Here is a 24,074-nt window from a genome sequence, read left to right on the forward strand (position 1 = left end):
AGAATCCAGAACTTGATTAGGTGCTCTTGTAAGTGAATGAACAGGCATTCAGCCACTTCAGCACACTTTGCACATTTTAGTTAATAAGCAAAACAAAATGAATATACTCCACATCAAACACTTTGCAGAACTATATATAAGCCACAGGTAAGAAAAGAAAATACAAACCTGCGGCAAATCCATCAAATATTCTGTTTTTCCTTAAGATTGGATGACTATTAGTGCTGATGAGAACACCTGCTTGAGCATTCCTGAAAATATCATTTTCTTCAAGGAGACCTATAATAAAATATTTCCTTAGATTAAGGCTAATGCATATAACAGACTACTAACCTTTTTGGTGGTATTTAGGTTTGCTTTTAGTTTCTTATTTAACTGCATGGTAAAATTCACAGGACTATTTTTTCAGCCAAAACAAGTTTATTAGCAATTCAGAGGTATTAAGGATCTAACAAAATTGCTACAATGACAGGTAAGAGCATTCTGACCAATAATCTGCCATCTCCATGATAGCAGGGTCCATGTCTAAGTTTACTCAGCACTTCATCTTCAGAGCCAGGTGCATAGGTGATTCTCAATGAGTATTGCTGAATTAAAGCTAATTCCTTTGAAATATTTCTAGAACCTTTGTATCCTCTTTGTTTTTAGTTCAGGCAAGCAAGCCCTTATTTCTGGCCCTTATTACTATAATCATTTCCTGATGAGTTTCCTTTATTCCAGTTTCATCTGCTGCATAGTTTCCAATCAGTTAACTGCAACTCTTATCATGCCTCTTTCTCTAACAAACTACTTTCAGAATAAAGTTTAATATCACCTTGCCTTTCAAAATATCCCTCCAACCTACTTGTTTGTCTTAATGTGAGACATGGTTTTATTTCTGTAGACATTTAATCCCTCTGGTATTTCACATTATTGACCTAAACTTTCACCTGGATGAGTGGGAAAAATCTGACTCAGTAACTTCTTGGGGTCCTCCTCCTGTTCACTCCCTGGGTATTAATATTTCTGGGTTCTGTCCCTCATTTCCCTCTGCATACTCTTTGGGTGATCTTACATCTTGCAACTATTGCATATACACTGTTGCTTTTTAATTTTTGAGACAGAGTCTCACTCTGCCACCCAGGCTGGAGTGCAATGGTGTGATCTTGGCTCACTGCAACCCCTGCCTCCGGGTTCAAGCAATTCTCCTGCTTCAGCCTCCCAAGCAGCTGGGATTACAAGCACCTGCCACCACACCTGGCTAATTTTTGTATTTTTAGGTTTCACCATGTTGGCCAGGCTGGTCTCAAACTCCTGACCTCAAATGATCCACCCACCTGGGCCTCCCCCAAAGTGCTGGGGTTACAGGCATGAGCCACTGCACCCGGCCACTGTTGCTAATTCTTTAATCTATTCCTTTAGCTTAGTATAATGAATCACATTCTGGTCATAACCAATTTGGATATTCCAGAAGACAACCTTGGATTCAGTGTTTAAAAACTGACCTTACTAATGTTTTCCAGAAACCATTTCCTATATAACTTACCTCAGTGAAAGGTAGTCACCCACCCAAATCAGAATCCTGAGCACCCATCATATTTCACTTTACTTTCAACCCCCATATTAAATCAATGACCCAGTCCTGTTGGTTCCACCCTTTTTATAGAGATACGGTCTTACTACATTGCCTAGGCTGGTTTCCAACTCCAGACTCAAGTGATACTCCTGCCTTAGCCTCCAGAGCAGCTGGAAGTACAGGTGTGAGCCACTGTGCCCAGTTGGTTCTGTCCTTTTAAGTATCATTAACATGTCCCACCCCCTGCCCCCCCAACCTTTTCACACCCTTATGCTATCATTTTAGTTTAGGCTCTCATTATTTATTGCCTGAGTTATTCCAAGTCCCTGTCTCTAATCTTGATTATTTCCACTACACCTCAAGTGCTATTGCTAAGATGGATTCCAAACTCCTTACTGCATATGGAAAACCTCATGATTTGGGCCTTGCCCCTTCTGTAGCCTCAATTTTCTGTACCTCTTCCCTTACTTTCAGTTTCCTCTAGACTTTTGTTTACGATGTGCTCCACTCCATCACACTATACATTTTATGGATGTGCTGTTTCATTTAGCATATCTCTAGCATCTGTATCATAGTAGTTGGTACAGAGGTGTTAAATCAGTATCTAAAGAATAAAAGTGAAATAACATCTGGAATGGTCTGTTCGCCTCTCCCAAACCCAATTGCCAGTAAATATCTACTCATTTTTCAAAACACGGCTCAAAAGTGATTTGACTTGCGTGAACCATTTCTCAACACCTTGCAAATAAACCATTCTGTATTGTGTGTCTTCACTATATTTTGTGAAAACTATCTGAGATACGTCACTTTACTGAATTACTAGATTATAAGCTCCTGGAGAGTCTGTCAATGGAATCATCACTGCTTGGCTGTGGTATTAAATTTTGTTCATTAAATCTTGGCATGTTAGAGTAATAACTAGCTATTCTATGTAAGATATGTACAAATGTTGGGTTATTGACATTTCAGGAACAGCGATAGATTTGCATTTGGCAGCTCTGTGAATCTCTGTATACATGCATCTGTAAGGGGCAGGCACTATGGAACTTTTGCCTCAATGCAAAGTGAGTTGACCTTTATGAATACCAAACCAGGCACATCTTGGCTTCATTAATTCCACTCTCCAACAAACACAGTTGAAAACAGTTACAAAAGCAATACCCGTTTACTAAAGACATTTTCAGATATTTACAGATCAATTTCTCACATCTATTTCTATAACTTGACTTTGAAGTTTATTATAATCATATTACTATTCTGAATTTTAAAAGGTCCAGAGAATGTAAACAAATTCTATCTTTAAAAAGGCTTACTGACAACTGCAGACTCAAAGTGGCTACAAAAGGAAAAGTATTGTAAACATTTGTCTCTTAACTCTAGGCACTAATCTCCTAAACCAGTTCAACTTGATAAGGAAAAAGACTTGAGATTCACTCATTTATAACTTAGTTAGCAATGTCATTGATCATTAAAGATATGGAAGAATAATGGAAAACTGGATTTTTCACTAATGCAAAATTAACAACAATACCTCGACCCCCATTAAATATACAGATGCCACCATCTCTTCCATCATGGATTTTATTTCTTCTTAGTGTAGGATTACTATCTGTCTTAATCCAGACTCCAGCCATTGCATTGTCAAATATTTCATTGTCTTCTATACAGCCTAGACCTATAAATGCAAAAATGTAGGTTATCTAGAAGGTATATTTCTTTTTAATTTTTTTTTTTTTTTTTTTTTTTGAGACAGAGTCTCGCTCTGTTGCCAGGCTGGAGTGTGCAGTGGCGCGATCTTGGCTCACTGCAACCTCCACCTCCCGGGTTCAAGTGATTCTCCTGCCTCAGCCTCCCAAGTAGCTGGGAATACAGGCGTGTGCCACCATGTCCAACTAATTTTTGTAATATTTAGTAGAGACAGGGTTTCACCATGTTGGCCAGGCTGGTCTTAAACTCCTGACCTCGGGTGATCCACCCATCTCGGCCTCCCAAAGTGCTGGGATTACAGGCGTGAGCCACCGTGCCCGGCCTAGAAGGTGTATTTCTAAAGTTTATTAACACAGAAAAAAGATGACAGATTAAACATACCAGAATTATAAACTAGAATTCCACCATTCTGTCCTCCCCAGATTTTGTTGCGTCTAATTTTGGGGTTGCTTCCAGTCCTGTAAACAGAATAGACAATAATACCATTTCAATAGCTTCTACTCCCATATCTTCATGTTACGTGAGGTAAACAGTGGAGAAATCCACATAAGTCACTTAGTAAGAATTAACTATACAATGGAGTCCAAGATGCCCTGAGAAGAAAGTGGTTTAATTTTGCTTAATCCTGTATTTCCCACAGAACATACTTTACTACAGATTATTATTGTAGAGTTTCCTAACATGTAAACTAAATGGGGTTATATTAAGTGACATATATTCCCCTCATATGTAAAATGAAGGACTGAATTACAGGCATGCCTTGGAGATAACTGCAGGTTCCGTTCCAGACCACCATAATAAAGCGAGTATTGCAATAAAGAGAGTCGCATCAATTTTTTGGTTTACATTATACTGTAGTCTATTAAGTATGCAATAGCATTTCATAAAAAAAAGCACATACCCTAACTTAAAAATACTTTATCGCTAAAAAAATGCTCATAACAATCTAAGCCTTCAGGGAGTCTTTTTTTTTTTTTTTTTTTAAAGACATGGGGTCTTGCTCTGTCACCCAGGCTGGAGTTGCAGTGGCATGATCATAGCTCACTGCAGCCTCGAACTCTTGGGCTCAAGCAATCCTCCTGCCTAAGCCTCCCGAGTAGCTGGGACTACAGGTGCACACCACCATGCCCAGTTAATTTTTGTATTTTTTGTAGAGATGGAGTTTTGCCATGTTGCCCAGGCTGTTCTCAAACTCCTGGGCTCAAGTGATCCACCTGTCTCAGTCTCCCAAAGTGCTGGGATTACAGGCATGATCTACTGCACCTGACCAACTGGCAATCTCTTAAAATAAGACAATTAAGTTTGCCACATAGACTGACTCTTCCTTTCACGGAAGATTTCTCTGTAGCATGCAATGTTGTTATAGCATTTTGCTCACAGTAGAATTTCTTTCAAAATTGTTGTCAATCCTTGCCAACCCTGCTACTACTTTATTAACAGGCTTATGTAATATTCTAAATCCTTTGTCTTCATTTCAACTATGTTCACAGCATCTTCAACAGGAACAGACCCCACCTCAAGAAAAACCACTCTTTGCTCATCCGTAAGAAGCAACTCCTCATCTGTCCAAGTTTTATCATGAGGTTGCAGCAATTCAGTCACATCTTCATGTTCCATTTTCTAATTCTACTTCTCTTGCAATTTCTACCACGTCTGGAATTAGTTCCTCCACCAAAGTCTTATACCCCTAAAGTCATCCATGAGGGTTGGAAGCAACTTCTTCCAAACTCCTGTTAATTTTTTTTTGTCCTGGCCATAAAAACGTTTATTTTTGTATTTAGGTTTGATGAATGAACATCCACGCAGAAATGTGATTGGACACAAAGGATCTGGCCTAACGGTGATGGACAGAGTCGGGAAACCCAGCAAAGCCGCTCTGTACAATTCCCCTTCCCCTGGGTATCCCCCTCGGGAATGAGGATCTTCCAGGGAGAAGGGAGAGAGTGACCTAGCTAGGTTTTATGGCTGGGTTTGAGAGAAAGGAATTCTAGTTTCTAAGACCTGCTTTGAGGAAAAGGAATTCTGGTTTCTGGGACTCAATTTGGGGGAGAAAAGGAGGCAGGAACCAGGAGGGAAGGACAAAGACCTGGCTTCTGAGGCCTTCCAGTCTCCTCTGGGTCAGAGTAGTCCGCATGCCAAGGTGCCATACTTCGGGGTTTAATGAGCCCTGACAGCAGGTCCTTGCAGATTTCACAGGTAACTTGTGATCCAAGTAACTGGCTTTCAGACCCCCAATTTCAGAGGACTTTAGCAAAGCCTGGTTGAAATTGGCCAAGTGTTAGAAGAACCTCTTCAAAGCTGAAATTCATAGAGTTCTTCAGCTGAGGGCGTAAGAATCCCAGATGTAAGGTTAGCGAGAGTTAGAAGTTCTGGAGTCTTCCCCGCATGCCCCAGCTCTTGAGCATCAACGGGCCAGAAGCTCACAATATCTGATCCTCCTGTGGCTCAGCAGGGATGTGTTTTAGAGCAGCATGTTCAGAATGAAACTGGCGCACTTAGTCAAGCCTCGAGGGCCTTTTGAAGCCATGCATGGCCCACGCTGGCCTCATGGGAACACAGGTGCTCCAGCACCCGATGTGTTCACGACTAGGTAGGGGGAACCTTCAGCCCTGAAAACATCCCCCTGCTGTCTAGATCAGCCTGCCCCATGGCCAAGGGCGGTGAGAACCCTGGCGACCCCTTGGGTTGCACCTCTGCCAGTACTACAATTTTGCACTTTGTGGGCAGAAAAGCTCAACATTTGGCTCAGGGCATAACTGCAATTTTTTTTTGTTTTGTTCTGTTTTTTGAGACAGGGTCTCACTCAGTCATCCAGGCTGGAGCACAGTGGTATAATCATAGCTCAGTGCCGCCTCGACTTCCTGGGCTCAAGCGATCCTCCCACCTCAGCCTTCCGGGTAGCTGGGACCACAGGCGCATGCCACCATGCCTAGCTAATTTTTTCTATTTTTTACAGAGACAGGGTTTTGCTATGTTGCCCAGGCTGATCTTGAACTCCTGGCCTCAGGAGATCCTTCCACCTCAGCCTCCCAAAATGCTTGGATTACAGCACTTTTTCAGATCTCCTCCCAGGAATCATGAATGTTCTTAATGAAATCTGGAATGGTGAATCCTTTCCAGAGGTTTTCAATTTACTTTGCCCAGATCCATCAGAGGAATCACTATCTATGGCAACTACTGCTTTCTAAAAAGTATTTCTTACATACAAAGACTTAAAAATTGAAATCACTCCTTGATCCAGACTGTGGGATGGATGCTGTATTAGCAGGCGTGAAAACAACAATCTCCTTGTGCATCTGCATCAGAATTCTTGGGTTACTGGGTGCATTGTCAATGAGCAGTAATATTTTGAAATATTTTTTCTGAGCACTAGGTCTCAGTGGACTTAACATATTCAGTAAACTGTACTGTAAATTCATGTGCTATCATCCATGATTTGTTGTTCCCTTTATAGCGCACAGGCAGAGTAGATTTAGCATAATTCTTAAGGGCCCTAGGGTTTTCATAATGGTAAATGAGCACTGCCTGCAACTTAAAGTCATCAGCTTAACTAACCCTTAACAAGAGATCAGCTTGCCCTTTGAAGTCAGGCATTGACTTCTCCCCTCTAGCTATGAATGTTCTGGATGCATCTTCTTCCAATATAAAACTATTGAGTCTACACTGAAATCTGTTTAGTGTAGCCACCTTCAACAATGATCTTAGCTATATCTTCTGGGATAACTTTCTGTAGCTTCTATCTCAGCATTTGCTGCTCCACCTTGCACTTAGCTTTTTTTCTTAAACCTCATGAATCAACCTCTGCTAGCTTCAAACTTTTCTTCTGCAGCTTCTTCACCTCTTTCAGCCTTCATAGAACTGAAGAGAGTTGGGTCCTTGCTCTGGATTAGGAATTGGCTTAAGGGAATGTTGCGGCTGGTTTGTTCTTCTATCCACATCACTAAAACATTCTCCATATTAGCATAAGTCCATTTTTTTGTTATTATTTTATTTTGCTTTGAACCCTGAGAAACTAAGCAATAAGGTTGTTTTGCTTTGCTTTATCATTCATGTGTTTACTGGAATAGCATTTTTAATTTCTTTCTAGGACTTTTCCTTTGCATTCACAACTTAGCTAACTGGACAAGAGGCCTAGCTTTTGGGCTATTCAGCCTTTAGACATACTTTCCTCACTAACCTTCATCATTTCTAGCTTTTGATTTAAAGTGAGAGATACGCAACTCCTCCTTTCACTTCAATACTTATAGAGGCCATTTGAGGATTACTAATTGGCCTAATTTCGATACTGTTGTGTCTCAGGCAATAGGGAAGCCTGAGGAGAGGGACAGAGATGGGAATGGCTGCTTGGTGGAACAGTCAGAACACACACAACGTTTACAGATGAAGTTTGTTATCTTGGGCGCAGTTAATGGTGTCCCAAAACAATTACAATAGTAACATCAAAGATCACTGATCAGGGTGGGTGTGGTGGCTCACGCCTGTGATCCCAGCACTTTGGGAGGCTGAGGCGGGTGGATCACCTGAAGTCAGGAGTTTGAGACCAGCCTGACCAATATGGAGAAACCCCATCTCTACTAAAAATACAAAGTCAGCCAGGCATGGTGGCACAAGCCTGTAATCCCAGCTACTTGGGAGGCTGAGGTTGCGGTGAGCCGAGATCGTGCCATTGCACTCCAGCCTGGGCAACAAGAGTGAAACTCCGTCTCAAACAAACAAAAAGGATCACTGATCAGAGATCACCATAACAGACATAATGATAATGAAAAAATGAGACACAGAGACAGGAAGTGAGCACATGCTGCTGGAAAAAAATGGCAGAGAGATCTGCTCAACACAGTATTGCCACAAAACTTCAATTTGTGAAAAAACACAGTATCTGTGAAGCACAATGAACTGTAAAGTGTAATAAACAGAGGTAAGCCAGTATATGATCATTAGTACTGCTAGAATTCCAAAAACTTAAAATATTAGAGGGGTATCAAAAACTATTAATTTTACAGAAATAGCATAAAACAGAAGCTTCATTTTATTGAGTGCCAATGATATGCCAGGCATAATGCACAAGTATTTTAACACAGACTTCCACTCTCCAAGTATGAAGGATCATATTGGCAGCTGATGTGACTCTCATAGTGGAAAGCAGAACGGTGGAAGTGAGCTCTTATGGCACATGTGCCAGTGGCTTCTGTCCTCACCTAGACCAAGGAAAGCTACATTCTGACAATTTAAGTCAAGATTATTTTAAGAATGTGAATATATATACAATAGGGGGATAAAGATTGGGCATTAAACAATAAGCAAATTTCTTTTACACACCCCACATACTCCTAACTCCCTCCCAAAAGATAGCCAAATATGAAAACATTTACCTTATCTGAACCCCTGAATACATATGATTATAGATATCATTGTCTTCTAGCACTCCATGTCCATTGTCATAAAAATAAACACCAACCTAAAATTTAAAAAAAAAAAAAAAGCTTTTTCAAGGGACAAGTATTTACAAAACAATGTATTTCCCATCCAAGAGTCCAGGCTAATCCTACCTGCTTGCCACTGTGTATCCGGTTTCTTCTCAGTACTGGAGTGCTGCCAGTTGTCACCCAGACTCCAGCTAGAGTGTTACTATAAACTTCATTCTCTTCTATTACTCCTTGTCCCTTTTCATGCTAAATGAAAGTTACACTGGTTATAATATTTATCTTCTATAAGCAAGGCGTTTATAGTCTGTTACCCCCTTTATAGACAGTTAAAAAATTTTCCATTTTTGTTTTTTCATCCGAGTAAGGAGGTAATGGCAATATTCTTTTGTTTTGTTTTGTTTTGAAATGGAGTCTCGCTCTGTCGCCCAGGCTGGAGTACAGTGGCGCGATCTTGGCTCACCACAACCTTCGCCTCCCATGTTCAAGCAATTCTCTGCCTCAGCTTCCCAAGTAGCTAGGATTACAGGCGTCTGCCACCACGCCTGGCTAATTTTTGTATTTTTAGTAGAGATGGCGTTTCACCATCTTGGCCAGGGTGGTCTTGAACTCCTGACCTCGTGATCCACCCGCGTTGGCCTCCCAAAGTGCTGGGATTACAGGTGTGAGCCACCGCGCCCGGCCAACATTCTTTTTATGTAGCCTCTACCTGAGTTTTAAGCTTTCAAAAATTTTATACTGTTCTTTAAGTGGTTTTATACTTTTAATATCACAGTAATAGTAGTAGTAGCATTCAATTTTCTTTAGCAAAAGAAATTAATTCACCCTAGGATGTGTAACAAACTGACGACCTCTCATTTAGTAATAAATTAACAGTTACTTCAAACCTATTTCTCGAGAAATCAATTCAAAATGATATGGCTTCATGTTCCCAAAATTTTTACTTTTAGCAGGTAACTGAGGACATGTGCATCTCTAGAACCATAAATGAAAATTAAAAGTAATGCCTTGCATAAGGACCTTTTTGAAATTTCCTACATTTTCTTACTTGAATCAGTTGCAAAATTTTAGATACCATGAGTGAAGACGATTAATACACAGGTTTCAAAATTTTGAAAGTTATTATATTTTAACATAAATTCAAATGAAAAAGTGGCAGAACTTCAGTGACTCATACAGTAGTCATACTCGTAAAATTCTGGTGTAACAAATATAATAGACTGCAAATGAACTGCTGCTGAGGCTAGCCCATATTGCCAATAATAAAGACTTTAATAAAAAGGTGTTTCTCTTATGGCTAAATTTAGTCAGCTGCTGAGTAAATTTTACATAATTAAACACAAACTTAAAATCAGAAATCATTAAGATACTGGCAGGGAGAAGAAGAACGTTATTTTTGTCTAACTATTAAAGACAGTCACAAATTCATACCTCAAAAGTTGAATATGGCCTACCTAAAAGCTTGAGGAGAAACCCTTTATCCCCCTGGTTTTGATGCATGAGTTTATAGGGAACTATATACATTAACTTACCACATAAATCCCACCATGCTGGCCATCATGAATTTTGTTATGCCGAACAATTGGACAACTGTTTGTCCTAATTTGAATTCCTGCTAATGCATTGCCTATTTAAAAATAAAAGTTACAAGGTCAACATTTGTGAGCCTAGAGAATACAGTAAGGATTTTACATTAGGTAGTGGTTAAAATTCTTACACTAGAATTTTAGTGACCATTACAAGACAAAATTAAGAGAACTAGAAGTGTAAATAGATGCAGAGAGCTGCAGGCAGTATAGTATAGCTATGCTATAGTTGTGGAGCCGAGCTGCCACATTTTGAATCCCAGGAATTCCACTTCCTGTGTGACCCTGAGTAAGTAATTTAACCTCTTTGTGCCTCTGTATACTGATCAGTAAGTATCTTTGTGCCTCTGTATCCTTATCAATATTTAATGGTATCTACCTCACAGTGTTGATGTGAGTATTATATGACTTAACTCAGGTTAAGATGCTCCGCAGAGTGCCTATACTTAGTAAAGCTTTATGTAAGTATTAACCAGGTTAGAGTTACCAGAAGCGAAAGCCCAGGCACATATTGGTGTCTGGCACACAGATATCTACTGATTGTTTGCTGATTTAATGTTCCTAAAACTTTAATGAGGAATAAATATTTTCTTTCTCTAATTAGCACAAAGTATATTAAACTACCACAGAAACAATTAACTATTAAAAAACAGAGTGAAACTATGGAAACTGCAGATATTCCTTGGGACTAAGGTCTTATTTATATTTTCATCCCTGGTATCTGGCATACTGCCTGTGAATACATACCACAGAATAATCTTTATTAAGCATTTAGGCCAGGCGTGGTGGCTCATACCTGTAATCCCAGCAATCTGGGAGGCTGAGGCTGAAACAGGCAGCTCACTTGAGGCCAGGAGTTCAAAACCAGCCTGGCCAACATGGCAAAACCTGTCTCTATTAAAAATGCAAAAATGGCCAGGCGCGGTGGCTCACACCTGTAATCCCAGCACTTTGGGAGACCGAGGCAGGCAGATCACAAGGTCAGGAGATCGAGACCATCCTGGCTAACATGGTGAAACCCCGTCTCTACTAAAAATACAAAAAATTAGCCGGGCGTGGTGGCGGGCGCCTGTAGTCCCAGCTACTTGGGAGGCTGCGGCAGGAGAATGGCGTGAACCTGGGAGGTGGAGCTTGCAGTGAGCCGAGATTGCGCCACTGCACTCCAGCCTGGGTGATAGAGAGAGACTCCGTCTCAAAAGAAAAAAAAAAAAAAGCAAAATTGAGCCGGGCATGGTAGCATGCACCTGTAATCCCAGCTACTCTGGAGGCTGAGGCATGAGGATCGCTTGAACCTGGGAGGCAGGGGTTGCTGTGAGGTGAGATTGTGTCACTGCACTCCAGCCTAGGCAACAGAGTGAGACTCTGTCTCAAAAACAACAACAACAAAAATTAAAGGGCAGCGCATGAGACTCACACCTGCAATCCCAGAATTTTGGGAGACCAAGGCGGGAAGATCACCTGAGGCCAGGAGTTCAAGACCAGCCTGGGCAACAAGGCAAAACCCAGCCTCCACAAATAAATGAGTGGGGCACGGTGGCACATGCCTGTAGTTCTAGCTACCAGGGAGGCTGAAGGAGGAAGATCGCTTTGAGCCCAGAAGTCTGAGGCTGCTGTGAGCCATGTTTGTGCCACTGTGCTCCAGTCTGCACAAGAGAGTAAGACCTCATTTCTTTAAAAAAGAAAAAAATTAAAGAGCTGGATCAGTGCTTCCACTTGGGTAGTTTCAAAATGTTCCATCATTTTGCTAATATCAAGAAGACATACAAATCTATAAGTTTTATAGAACAAAACCATACGCTTACCATAAATGTCATTTCCTTCAATAAGGCCTCGTCCATCACCAAAGATGTAAACTCCTCCTTGATTTCCATTAAATATAGAATTTCCCCTATAATTATGCGAAATAAAAAAAAAGAAGACATCTATTCAGCCAAACTTACTTGTTTTATACAACGGTAAGGCCCCTCATGGTCATATAACAAATTACATAAACTTCTAAGGCCTCAATTTCTTCATTATTTCTAAGGCCTAAGACTTTGGAAAAGTCAGACTACTATTTGAAAGAACATATGTAGCATTCTTAAAAATTCCCCTCAAAACAGCTAATACATTCAAAACAATTTTTTAGCTGATCTAGAAACATTTGATGACTATTAACAAGATGGAAATCCCAAAATCTACTTCCATAAAGCCAATGGAAAATAAAATTTGACAATTAAAAATAATTCATAGTGTCTGATTAGATTATAATACCTTTGGTTCTACAATTTTGGCTTATTAAGGGAAAATGACAGCTTGCAGTTTTTGACTTTTTGATAATTTTAGTCTTTCTGGCCAAGAATCTTTGAGATATTTTTCCTGAATTATTCTATTTGCTAACTTCAGAAAAAAGAAGACAAAGTCCTTCAAGCTCCAAGGGGAGGTAACAGTCCTATTTACTCATCTATAATGCAGTTTGATGAATTTAAAATAAAAATCACAGCATTTGCAATTTTTCATAATATCACATATGGTTTATATCACTAATAAAAAGAAAAATAAAAACACCAAAAAATAAATCTGCAATAGCTATGGCTCATTCAGATGCACAGACTTTAACTAGGAAAATCTATTTTATAGTAGTCAAATGTCTAACAAAAACTTTCAAGAGTTAAAGCTCAATATCTTGACTTTTAAGCAAACCTTGAAGTGAAAAAGTAATTTTCACCCATAATTATATGTAAATACCTTATTGTTGGGTCACTATTTGAGGTAATCCATACACCTGCAAAGTTGTTTGCATAGATTTTATTCTCTATGAATTGTCCTCTTCCTTTTTCATGGACATATATTCCTCCAGTCTGCCCATGGTGAATTTCACATCGAACCACTGTAGGGTTAGCATAGGCTTTTACTTCAAAGCCTGCTATCCTATTTCTGTGTATATTGCAACTTTCAAAGTAACCCTGAAAAATACAGAAATTAAATCTGTAGGTAAAGCCTACTTTACAAAAAAAGAAATGCCATTTAAAAAACATTTCAATGCATATCTAAAAATTAAGTATTAGAAACATTTAAGGCTGGGCGTGGTGACTCACGCCTGTTAATCCCAGCACTTTGGGAGCCCTAGGAAGGTGGATCACCTGAGGTCAAGAGGAGACCAGCCTGGCCAACATGGTGAAACCCCGTCTCTACTAAAAATACAAAAATTAGCTGGGTGTGGTGGCTCACACCTGTAATCCCAGGTACTTGGGAGGCTGAGGCAGGAGAACTGCTTGAACCCGGGAGTCAGAGGTTGCAGTGAGCCGAGATTGCGCCACTGCACTCCAGCCTGGGTGACAAGAGCAAAACTCCGTCTCAAAAAAAATTAAAAAAAAAGTTTAAGAATAAAAAGTAGGTATATATACTAAGCTTCAAGTAATGATCATGGAAAGAAAAAGATTTAAATGTTTTAATTTTTTTTTTTTTAACAGACAAGGTCTCACTCTGTTGTCCAGGCTGGAGTACAGGGGCACAATCATAGCTCACGCAGCCTCAAACAATCCTCCCGCCTCAGCCTTCTGAGTAGCTAGGACCATAGAAAGGCACACACCACCATGCCTGGCTAATGACTTAAATGTTTTAGCAAAACAAAGAACTATATACATCCTCTAATAAGTCCAAGTACATTCAAAGGCATGAAGGAAAAACAGCAAAACATCTATTCGATAAATGTAGACGAATACCATTAACTAGTAAGCACATATCCTTCAACAAAAGGTTAAAGTCATTAAGAATATAAACTCTGGCTGCCTTAAAAATGTCCCAACAAGTCAGCTTCTAAAAGTTGTGGCTGGGCCTCCCAGCACTTTGGAAGACCGAGCAGGGAGGACTGCTTGAGCCCTGGAGCTCGAGACCAGCCTGGGTAACAGTGAGACGTCGTCTCTACAGAAAAAGTTAAAAACAAAATTAGCCAGGTGTGGTGACATGTGCCTATAAGCCTAGTTACTAGGGAGGCTGAGGTGGGAGGACTGTTTGAGCCTGGGAGGTTGAGGTTGCAGTGAGCCGTAATCACACCATCGCACTCCAGCCTGGACAACAGAGTCTCAAAAATAAATAAAGGTTGACCAAAGAACACAATCAGAGTCTTAAAATAAGAGCAATTTTTTTAAAAAGTTCACCTTAGCCCATTAATAGAGAACTGGCTAAATACAATGTTTTTGAAGACTTAGGTTCATCCTACACATGTTAAATGAAAAGAACAAGTTTTAAAGTAGTATACATTATGTATAATCTCAATTTTGTTTAAAGGGAACTTGAAGGATGGAACAAAAACGTGAGATGATTATGAGTGGTGGAATTATGGATAATTATGTGTTTCTTCATACTTTGAATTTCTTAAATTTCCTATATAATGGACATGTTTTACTTTTATAATGATAATGGAAGTTACCATAATTCTGATATCCTTAGGCCAAAGACTAAATGCAGACTGAATATTAAGAAAAAACGGAATGTGCTTACTCTCTTTCCTCTTTAAAATCCTTTCGGCACTAAGTATTTTTCTCATGTTACTTCCATGTATTGCCTTATATTATTTCGATATTTATATATGTCCATTTCTACCCCACTGTAAGCTCCTGTCTGGACTATTCTAACTTCTGGAGCATGTATGTAAGACTTTACACACAGTAAGTACTCAAACAGGATTTGATGAATTTTTTTTGCCAAATTTAGTAGAGGTTAAAAAGGGGATATTCTGAATACTCTAGTATACTATATGTTTAACTCTTCAAGAAAACAGGCCTCCAAGAATAACATACAAAAGTAGTTTTCAGACTTCATTTTCTAATAAAGAACAAATTATCTATAACTTATATCTCTATATTTGGATTATAACCTTATTCTTTTTTAAAACAAATCAGGAGCTATATAAAAGATAGCGTCTTCAAATATAAAACTTTTTCTTTGATTTTATACAGAATAAAAGTGAATACACACTGGGTGTATAAATACACTGTTATGGCAAAACTGACCATCAAAAAAACAAAAAGAGGCTAGACAAAGAGAACTTAATACTAGATTATTCACCATTTCAGATGTTTTCACCCATGAGGAGGGAGCACAATTAGTATAACTCTTAGTCTCTCTCTGCCAAGAGTTGAATGACATGTCTGGTGGATTTTTTCTTCTTCTTCTTTTTTTTTTTTTTTTTTTTTTTTTAGAGACAGGCTCTCACTCTGTTGTCTGGGTTGGAGTGCAAGGGTGCAATCACTCACTGAAGCCTCAATCTCCTGGGCTCAAACGATCCTCCCCACTCAACCTCCCAAGTAGCTGAGACCACGGGTGCATGGCACCAAGCCTGGCCAATTTTTGTGTTTTTAGTAGAGATGGAGTTTCATCATGTCGCCCAGGCTGGTCTCAAACTTTCAGCCTCAAGCAATCCTCCCGCCTTGGCCTCTCAAAGTGCTGGGATTACAGGTGTGAGCCACCATGCCGGGCCGACAAATCTGACTGGTAAACTTTTACAGCGCTGCAAGCAAAATTTGATACCTCTGAATGCAGTGATACAGTAAAAAAAAATTGATATACACTGACTAAACAGTATTCAAATGCAAGGGATAATCTTTTTGTTTTCTTTAGGTTTTGATTTTACAGAGTTAAGAGACTCAAGTACATCCACAAGTTTTTTTGGTTTTTTTTGAGACGGAGTCTCACTTTGTCACCCAGGCTTGAGTGCAGTGGCACGATCTCGGCTCACTGCAACCTCCATGTCCCGGGTTCACGCCATTCTCCTGCCTTAGCCTCCCGAGTAGCTGGGACTACAGGTGCCGCCACCATGCCCAGCTAATTTTTTGTATTTTTAGTAGAGACAGGGTTTCACCATGTCAGCCAGGATGGTCTCGATCTCCTAACCTCGTGATCCACCCGCCTCGGCCTCCCAAAGTGCTGGGATTACAGGTGTGAGCCACCGCGCCCAGCTGATCCACAAGTTTTTTAAGGCAAATAGCAGCCCTCTCCCTCATTTCCTTTATCCAGAGGGCCCCACTTTTAATTCTTTTAGCTGATTCTTTTGATTCACATCTATTTTATTAAGTAACTCACTGTACTTAGTCTTCACTTTCCAGTTTTAGGTATTATCCACTGACTTCTATTATGGGACAGCAGAATTTAGCTCTCCTACCTCTCTATCCCCCACAATATATACTCACACATTGTATCCTTTCAGTGTAGTTTAACCTTAATTTTGGTTAGATTAGTGTGCTATTCAGAGTTGAGCCATAAAATATGACTTCTTTGCTGCACAATTTTTTGGATTTTTTTCTCCTTTGCTTAGCTTTCTAGTGACAACTCTATCCTAAACTTGTTGCTAGTTGTCCAAATCACCTCTTCTTTTTATTTATTTTTTTGACACAGAGTCTCACTCTGTTGCCCAGGATGGAGTGCAGTGGCCCAATCTTGGCTCACTGCAACCTCTGCCTCCCAAGTTCAAGCGATTCTCCTGCATCATCTCCTATAAATCACCTCTTAATACATTTACATTTACATTAGGTTTACCAATTTATCTTTCTGAACAGCTTTATTGGAGCTTTAACCTGCTCCAATCTGGTTGGCTGCCCTGGTCACAGGCATGCAGTCATTTACCACATTGTATTAATAAATTAGGTTAAGGATTAAATATGTCACCTAATTCCATCAAATATGGAGTTTATAATCTGTATCTTTTGTTTCAGAGTAACTTTCAAGAAAATAAAGCAGCAAAAAGTTTTCTTTTCTCAACGACCTTAAAATGAGAAGCCTCTACATTGGCACAACAATGATTTTACTACCTTTAGAAATGACAAAGATTGATTGACTTATAGTTTTATAATTTTGCAAGAAAACTTATTTTTATTATGGATTCAGTTAATGTAATTTTGCTTCAAGATTTTTTTGTTTGTTTGTTTTTGTTTTTGAGACAGAGTGTCTGTCGCCCAGGCTGGAGCGCAGTGGCGCACTTTCGGCTCACTGCAACCTCTACCTCCTGGGTTCAAGTGATTCTCCTGCCTCAGCCTCCCGAGGAGCTGGGACTTTTGGTGTGAGCCACCACGCCCAGCTAATTTTTGTATTTTTAGTAGAGATGGGGTTTCACTATGTTGGCCAGGATGGTCTGGAACTCCTGACCTCAAGTGATCTGCTCGCCTCGGCTTCCCGAAGTGCTGGGATTATAGGCATGAGCCACTGAACCCGGCCTGCTTCAAGACGTATTTTAATAGAATGCAACTATTTTGTTAAGCAATACCTCTAGTACAAAATAAATCAATAATACAGAACTGTAAGAAATTAGATTTTTTTTTTTTTTTGAGGTGGAGTTTCACTGTCTCCTAGGCTGGAGCGCAGTGGTATGATCTTGGTTCATTGCAACCTCCAAATCCCAGGTTCAAGCAATTTTCGTGCCTCAGCCTCCAAAGTAGCTGGGATTACAGGTGGGTGCCACCATGCCCAGCTAATTATTGTATTTTTAGTAGAGACGGGGTTTTGCCAAGTTAGCCAGGCTGGTCTCGAACTCCTGGCCTCAAGTGATCCACCTGCCTCAGCCTCCCAAAGTGCTGCGATTACAGAGCTACCAAGCCCGGCTGAAAAAAATTTTTTAAGAAGACGGGAATCTCCCTGTCACCCAAGCTGGAGCTATCACAGGTCATTACAACCTTGAACTTCTGGGCTCAATCAATCCTCTTGCCTCAGCCTTCCAAGTAGCTAGGATTATAGGCGTGTGCCACCATGCCCAGCTAATTTTTAGAATATTTCTTTAGTAGAGATAGGGTCTGTCTTGCTCAGGTTGATCTTGAACTCCTGGGTTCATGCAGTCCTCCTGCCTCAACCTCCCGAAGTGCTGGGATTACAGGTGTGAGCCACTGTGCCCAGCCTCTGCTTTGTCTTTTAATGCAAACCACAAAAGTTCCAACATGTATAAATTTTTTGAAGTAAAACATTCTTTATTAAATATGACAAAGTAGGCCAGGCGCGGTGGAGCTCTTGAAGTCAGGAGTTCTAGACCAGCCTGGCCAACATGGTAAAACCCTGTCTGTACTAAAAACACAAAAGTTAGCTGTGCGTGCTGGCAGGCATCTGTACTCCCACCTACTCGGGAGACTGAGACACAAGAATTGCTTGAAGCCTGGAAGGTGGAGGTTGCAGTGAGCCGCGATTGCACCACTGCACTCCAGCCTGGGTGACAGAGTGAGACTCTTGTCTCAAAAAAAAAAAAAAGACAAAATAAAAGGCATTCAAGAGTTTCACAAGAAACTCTCCAGATTAAAAAAGAGAGAAAAATGCTATCTTCATAGAAATAAACTTCCACAACTCTAATCTATAAAAACACTTACCAAATACTGTGAAATCTGGGTAAGAAAGAGGAGGGTGCTGGGAACTAACCAATGTTAGTACCTTAGACTTTCAATGAAGTGTAGTTGTCCCCAAGTAACTAAAGGCTATAATAAGCTTAGCTTATTATTATCTTCTAACTAAAGTGATGAAATCTAATGGCATGAATATGCCATGAATTTTTTTATTTTTTTGACAGAGTCTCACTCCTCTGTCGCCCAGGCTGGAGTGCAGTGGCATGATCTTGGGTCACTGCAACCTCCACCTCCCACCTCCCCACTTCAAGTGATTCTCATGCCTCAACCTCCTGAGAGGCTGGGATTACAGGCACACGCCACCACGAGGCAGTGTTTCGCAGTGTTGGCCAGGCTGGTCTTGAACTCCTGGGCTCAAGGGATCTGCCTACCTTGTCCTCCCAAAGTGTTAGGATTACAGGCGTGACCCACTGCACCCGGCCTCAAAAAATTTTATAGTTATTTGGCACTGCTATGACATTTTATTTATTTATTTATTTATTTTTTGAGACAGAGTCTTGCTCTGTCGCCCAGGCTGGAGTGCAGTGGCGCGATCTCGGCTCACTGCAACCTCTGCCTCCTGGATTCAAGCGATTCTCTTGCCTTAGCCTCTCGAGTAGCTGGGACTTGAGGCGTGCACCAACACACCCGGCTAATTTATGTATTTCTAGTAGAGACAGGGTTTCACCATGTTGGCCAGGCTGTTCTCGAATTCCTGACCTCAGGTGATCTGCCTGCTCGGCCTCCCAAAGTGCTAGGATTATAGGCATGAGCCACCACACCTGGCCTGCTATGACATTTTAATCTTATTTTACAAAAGTAACAACTCTGCACTGAACTGAGTATTAAACAAACAAAAGACAATTGGAGAACTGTGAACATTAAGAGAAAATTTGATGATATTAAGGAATTATTCCTAATTATTGAGGAGTGGATTAGCACTGTGGTTATGTGAAAGAAAAAAAAAACACCCATCTTTTAAAGACACATGGTAAAATATTTACAAGAGATGATGAAGTCTGGTATTTACTTCAAAATAATCCAGAGTGTAAAAAAGGTAGTAAAACGTATGAGGTATACATTAAACAAAATTGGCCATGAAATGATAGTTGTTGAAGGCAGACAATAGGTACCTGGAGAGTCATTACACTATTCTCTCTACTTCAGTGTACGTTAGAAATATTTCATTAAAAAAATGTAAAAATTAAAGGCAACACCCACACTGGAAGCAAAATAGCAGCAGAAAAACAAAACCACGGAGACATGGTAAGGAACACAGATTTGAGGAACTCACACAACACTAAACAGAACAGAACATAGCAATATAAATAACCAGAAAGATAGCTAAGTTTCTAAAGAAAGGAACATATGGAACAGAAAAATAGTAAAACAATACATCAGCAAAAGCCAAAATATGGATACTGAGGTAGAAGAGCAATCTTTCAAGCAAAGAAGAAAGAAAAAAACCCAATGTGATCTCAGAGTTCTCAGCCATGCTCAATGCTACAATAGAAAAATGTCTACAGAATCGTGAGGGAAAGAAAGAAACTCAGCTAAGTTAAAAGGCAATGGATAGGGATTCTCGCATGGCAAGAATTCAAGCTACAATATCCATAAGGCGTTCTTTAAAAAAAACAAACAAAAAATGGCTGGATGACAAAACCTAGCCATACCAAGAATGAATCAAAATTTAAATTCAAGAATGGAGAAACGATGATAAAAGAACTAATGATAAATAAATAAAGAATAAATATAGACCAATAACTGTAGGAATGCAAATATTTTAAACCTTTGCAAAATAAAAATAAAAATGATGGGGTGGAGATAGATTGAAATACTTTATAAATCTTAAAATGTATAAATCTCATTAATCCTTAATGGAAATATCTATCTATAGCATTGTCTAGACTTATTTTTAAAAATGCTGTGATATTTACAAGCCCAAATCTATTCTTTAAAATGGTATAAGGAGTGTGTGTGTGATGAGGAGTAACTTACTATGGTGAACTTTAATAAGGGACCATCCCATCACCAGAGGTCTTTCAAAAATGATGAACTTGGCCAGGTGTGGTGGCTCACGCCTGAAATCCCATGCAAAGGCACACATCTTACATCTTGGCTCACTGCAACCTCCGTCTCCTGGGCTCAAGTGATCCTCCTGTCTCAGCCCCCAAGTAGCTGGGACTACAGGTGTGAGCCACCATGCCCAGCTAATTTTTGTATTTTTTGTAGAGACAGAGTTTCACCATGTTGTCCAGGCTGGTTTTGAACTCCTGAGCCCAAGCGATCCAACTGCCTTGGCCTCCCAAAGTGCTGGGATTACAGGTGTGAGCCACTGCACCCGGCCATGGTCTAGTTTAGTTTAAAAAAAGAGCTCTGCCTTGGCCAGGCGCAGTGGCTCATGCCTGTAATCCCAGGACTTTGGGAGGCCGAGGCAGGTGAATCACTTGAGGCCAGGAGTTCAAGCCCAGCCTGACCAACATGGTGAAACCCTGTTTCTACTAAAAATACAAAATTAGGCAGGCGTGGTGGTGCATGCCTGTAATCCCAGCTACTTGGAAGGCTGAGACATGAGAATCGCTTGAACCAGGAGGTGGAGGTTGCAGTGAGCCAAGATCACACCATTGCCATTGCACTCTAGCCTGGGCAACAAGGGTGAAACTCGGTCTCAAAAAGAAAAAAAAAAAAAAAAAAAAAGAAAAATGAAAATAAAAAAATTTCTTTGTATAGATGAATCCAACATTCCCAGGATTGCTTAATATTGTATAATAGGCAACAAAACCTCACCATAATCCTATTTGCTACAATGTGGTGACCCTCTCTCCCATCTTGGACTCCGCAACAAAAAATTTTACCAATGCTGTATTAGGACTTGAAAATTACCTCAAGGAAAATTTGACATTAAATGAAAAAAAATCTGAAAAGACATTCAAAACATTATTTTGAAATGGTGATCTCAGAGCTCAAAAAGTCATGTCTCTAGAAAATTATGTAAAACTATAAGGTAATACTTAAAACACAGTATATTCCATAAGGATGCCTAATATTAACTGCTGCATAATGGTTTTAAAATTGGTATTTTATCAATGTATCTCCTATTAAAGTTCTGCCAGTTTAAAATTTTCAAGAGGAATTAAATGAAAAGCAAAATAACAATGAAACCATTATTTCTCAAAGTATACTCTACAAACTGTGTTAGATTCACTTATGTTGTTTATTAAAAATACATATTCTAAGCCCCATCCTTGGAAATTTTGATTTATTAAACTGGAGGATACAGGAATTTTCTTTAAAACAGAAAGCTTTTGGGTGGCTTTTATGAACACACATTTGAGACTTAATTAACGAGTTATACCTTACTCCCCTCAAAGATCACATATATTGCCTAAGAACGCTATCACCTCTACATGGATATGTCTGATGCATAAATTTACAGAATAAATATTTCATATTAATTTTAAAAAATAATGCTGAAATTGCTTTTAAACCTATACTCTTCAATTCAGATAATTTGGTGATGAGAAAATAATGCTGAAACATACTTGGAATTTAACTGATACAGAAGTCCGTTTTTCTATTAAAAATAAGTGTTCTTACCATGCCATGATCAAATGTGAACACACCAACATCACGTCCATGATGAATATGATTCCGTCTAATAATTGGGTTTCCATGATTTTTAACCCAAATCCCAGCTAACGCATTATTGGAAATTTCATTATCCTCATATATTCCCTACAACAAGTTATCAGAAACAAACATCAGTAGAGCTTTTAAACATTTTCTAAAAAGAAAAAAACCACACAAAATTAAAAAATACCTGTGCATGATCTGTTATATATAGTCCAACATTTTCACAGTCACTGATGTTACAGTGCTTGATGGTGGGACATGCTCCTTGACCACTAACACATACTGCAGAACCAACTGTAGAAAAATTATTTATTTATGTAAAAACCTACTGGGCAACATACAGTGACTCAAAATTTTATTGTAAAATATAAAGAAAACACTAACCTGTACATGTACTTCGGATGATACAGTGATCAATAATAGGGCTACAATTTACTGTAATCTCTAAGCAGTGGTGTGCATTGTGGTGTTGTGCAGATTTGTCATCAGGGTTAAACTGAAAAGTAAAAATTTTGTTTGAAATAAACAATTACTGCCTTTATGATTTCAATGTGTATTTTAAATCTTAACATGTCTTACCCTTATTGTCATATATCCAACATAAGCATCTTCAGAGCCTTCCATAAAAACGAAGGTTGAATCTCTAGTGTTTTCAATTATAACTTTGTCTGCCACTTTCCCAGGTGCTGTGGAGAAGATATTTTAAAGAATATTACCTTTATTCGATTTCAACAGATGGGTATCTTTATGGAGGGGGAACTTACTAAAAACATTAGTACTGAGTAGTGGGACTAATATTCACTATCAGTTAACTATGTTTCATCATCAGCCTTTGCTATATTCAAATCCATGCACAGTATTACTTCTAATAACATTTAACTATAAATACTATGAATATAAAATGCAACGGCATATTAAAAAATGGTTTCTTGTGGAAACAAAAACAAAAAATGGTTTCTTGTGGAAACCATTCTGTTTCCAGCAGCAGCACTGGAAACAGAAGCTCAAGAAGAGAAGAGACCTCTATTTAAATTTATTTCCAACAGTGGCCTCGATTTAGAAAGTAATAAAATCACCAGACAAACATTTGCTCTAATCTATTCTCCCCATCTTCATGAGGAGATAGAGGAAGAAAGCAAAAGAGGCTGTAAATGCAAATTTCACTAGCAAATAATAATTACTAGCTATCTTAAAATGTTCTATGTACTGTATCCTCAAAATAAAAAAACCACAAATCTTCAAATGACTCAGTGTTTGACAGATATTACATTTATTCTTAGAAACCTGACCATAAATAGCTTTGAAATAGTACAAAAGTATTTAAAAATTCTATTTCAGTTCCTTTAAAAACATAGCAATAGAAATATTAGCATCTTTCTTTGCAATTCTCCTGCCTCAGCCTCCAGAGTCGCTGGGATTACAGGTGCACACCACCACACCTGGCTAATTTTTTTTGTATTTTTAGTAAAGATGGGGTTTCACCATGTTGGCCAGGCCAGTCTTTAACTCCTGACCTGAAGCGATCCACCCACCTCAGCCTCCCAAACTACTGGGTTTACAGGTGTGAGCCACCACACCTGGCTGCATCTTTATTTTCAAATAAAAGATGAAAAAGCTATTTTTCTTCGTTTAATGAATAACTCAAGGCAAATGGAGAAAGTACTAACATTAGGAAACATATACAGCCAGGCACAGTGGCTCATGTCTGTAATCCCCGCACTTTGGAAGGCCGAGATGGGCAAATCACTTGAGGCCAGGAGTTTGAGACCAGCCTGGCCAACATGGCGAAACCCTATCTCTGCTAAAAATACAAAAATTAGCCACGCATGGTGGTGCA

The 24,074-nt window shown here is 39.4% G+C and overlaps 1 protein-coding gene across 11 annotated transcripts in view, besides 2 other annotated features; it reads right to left on the bottom strand.

The window, feature by feature from the left end:
- The window catches only part of FBXO11 (F-box protein 11), a 99,579-nt gene that overhangs the window by 3,228 nt on the left and 72,277 nt on the right, over window positions 1–24,074 (bottom strand). For all 11 annotated transcript variants that reach the window (XM_017005015.2, XM_005264573.6, NM_001190274.2 and 8 more), the window contains exons 8-19: window positions 22,817–22,923; window positions 22,622–22,733; window positions 22,425–22,531; window positions 22,202–22,339; window positions 12,996–13,213; window positions 12,071–12,156; window positions 10,215–10,309; window positions 8,809–8,931; window positions 8,632–8,717; window positions 3,644–3,720; window positions 3,087–3,230; window positions 169–279 (exon numbers count right to left, since the gene is read on the bottom strand). In XM_017005015.2, the coding sequence (XP_016860504.1) occupies window positions 169–279; window positions 3,087–3,230; window positions 3,644–3,720; window positions 8,632–8,717; window positions 8,809–8,931; window positions 10,215–10,309; window positions 12,071–12,156; window positions 12,996–13,213; window positions 22,202–22,339; window positions 22,425–22,531; window positions 22,622–22,733; window positions 22,817–22,923 (1,404 nt within the window). The remainder of the gene's footprint in view (window positions 1–168; window positions 280–3,086; window positions 3,231–3,643; window positions 3,721–8,631; window positions 8,718–8,808; window positions 8,932–10,214; window positions 10,310–12,070; window positions 12,157–12,995; window positions 13,214–22,201; window positions 22,340–22,424; window positions 22,532–22,621; window positions 22,734–22,816; window positions 22,924–24,074) is intronic.
- Window positions 5,684–5,753: an enhancer, noted in NCBI's record as "active region_15742". NCBI's record gives its function as "activates an Ori minimal core promoter by ATAC-STARR-seq in GM12878 lymphoblastoid cells {active_cell/tissue: GM12878}" and the evidence as "EXISTENCE:reporter gene assay evidence [ECO:0000049][PMID:35858748]".
- Window positions 5,914–5,963: an enhancer, noted in NCBI's record as "active region_15743". NCBI's record gives its function as "activates an Ori minimal core promoter by ATAC-STARR-seq in GM12878 lymphoblastoid cells {active_cell/tissue: GM12878}" and the evidence as "EXISTENCE:reporter gene assay evidence [ECO:0000049][PMID:35858748]".

The sequence above is a fragment of the Homo sapiens genome, chromosome 2, assembly GCF_000001405.40.
Source record: "Homo sapiens chromosome 2, GRCh38.p14 Primary Assembly".
Taxonomy (NCBI): Eukaryota; Metazoa; Chordata; class Mammalia; order Primates; family Hominidae; genus Homo; species Homo sapiens.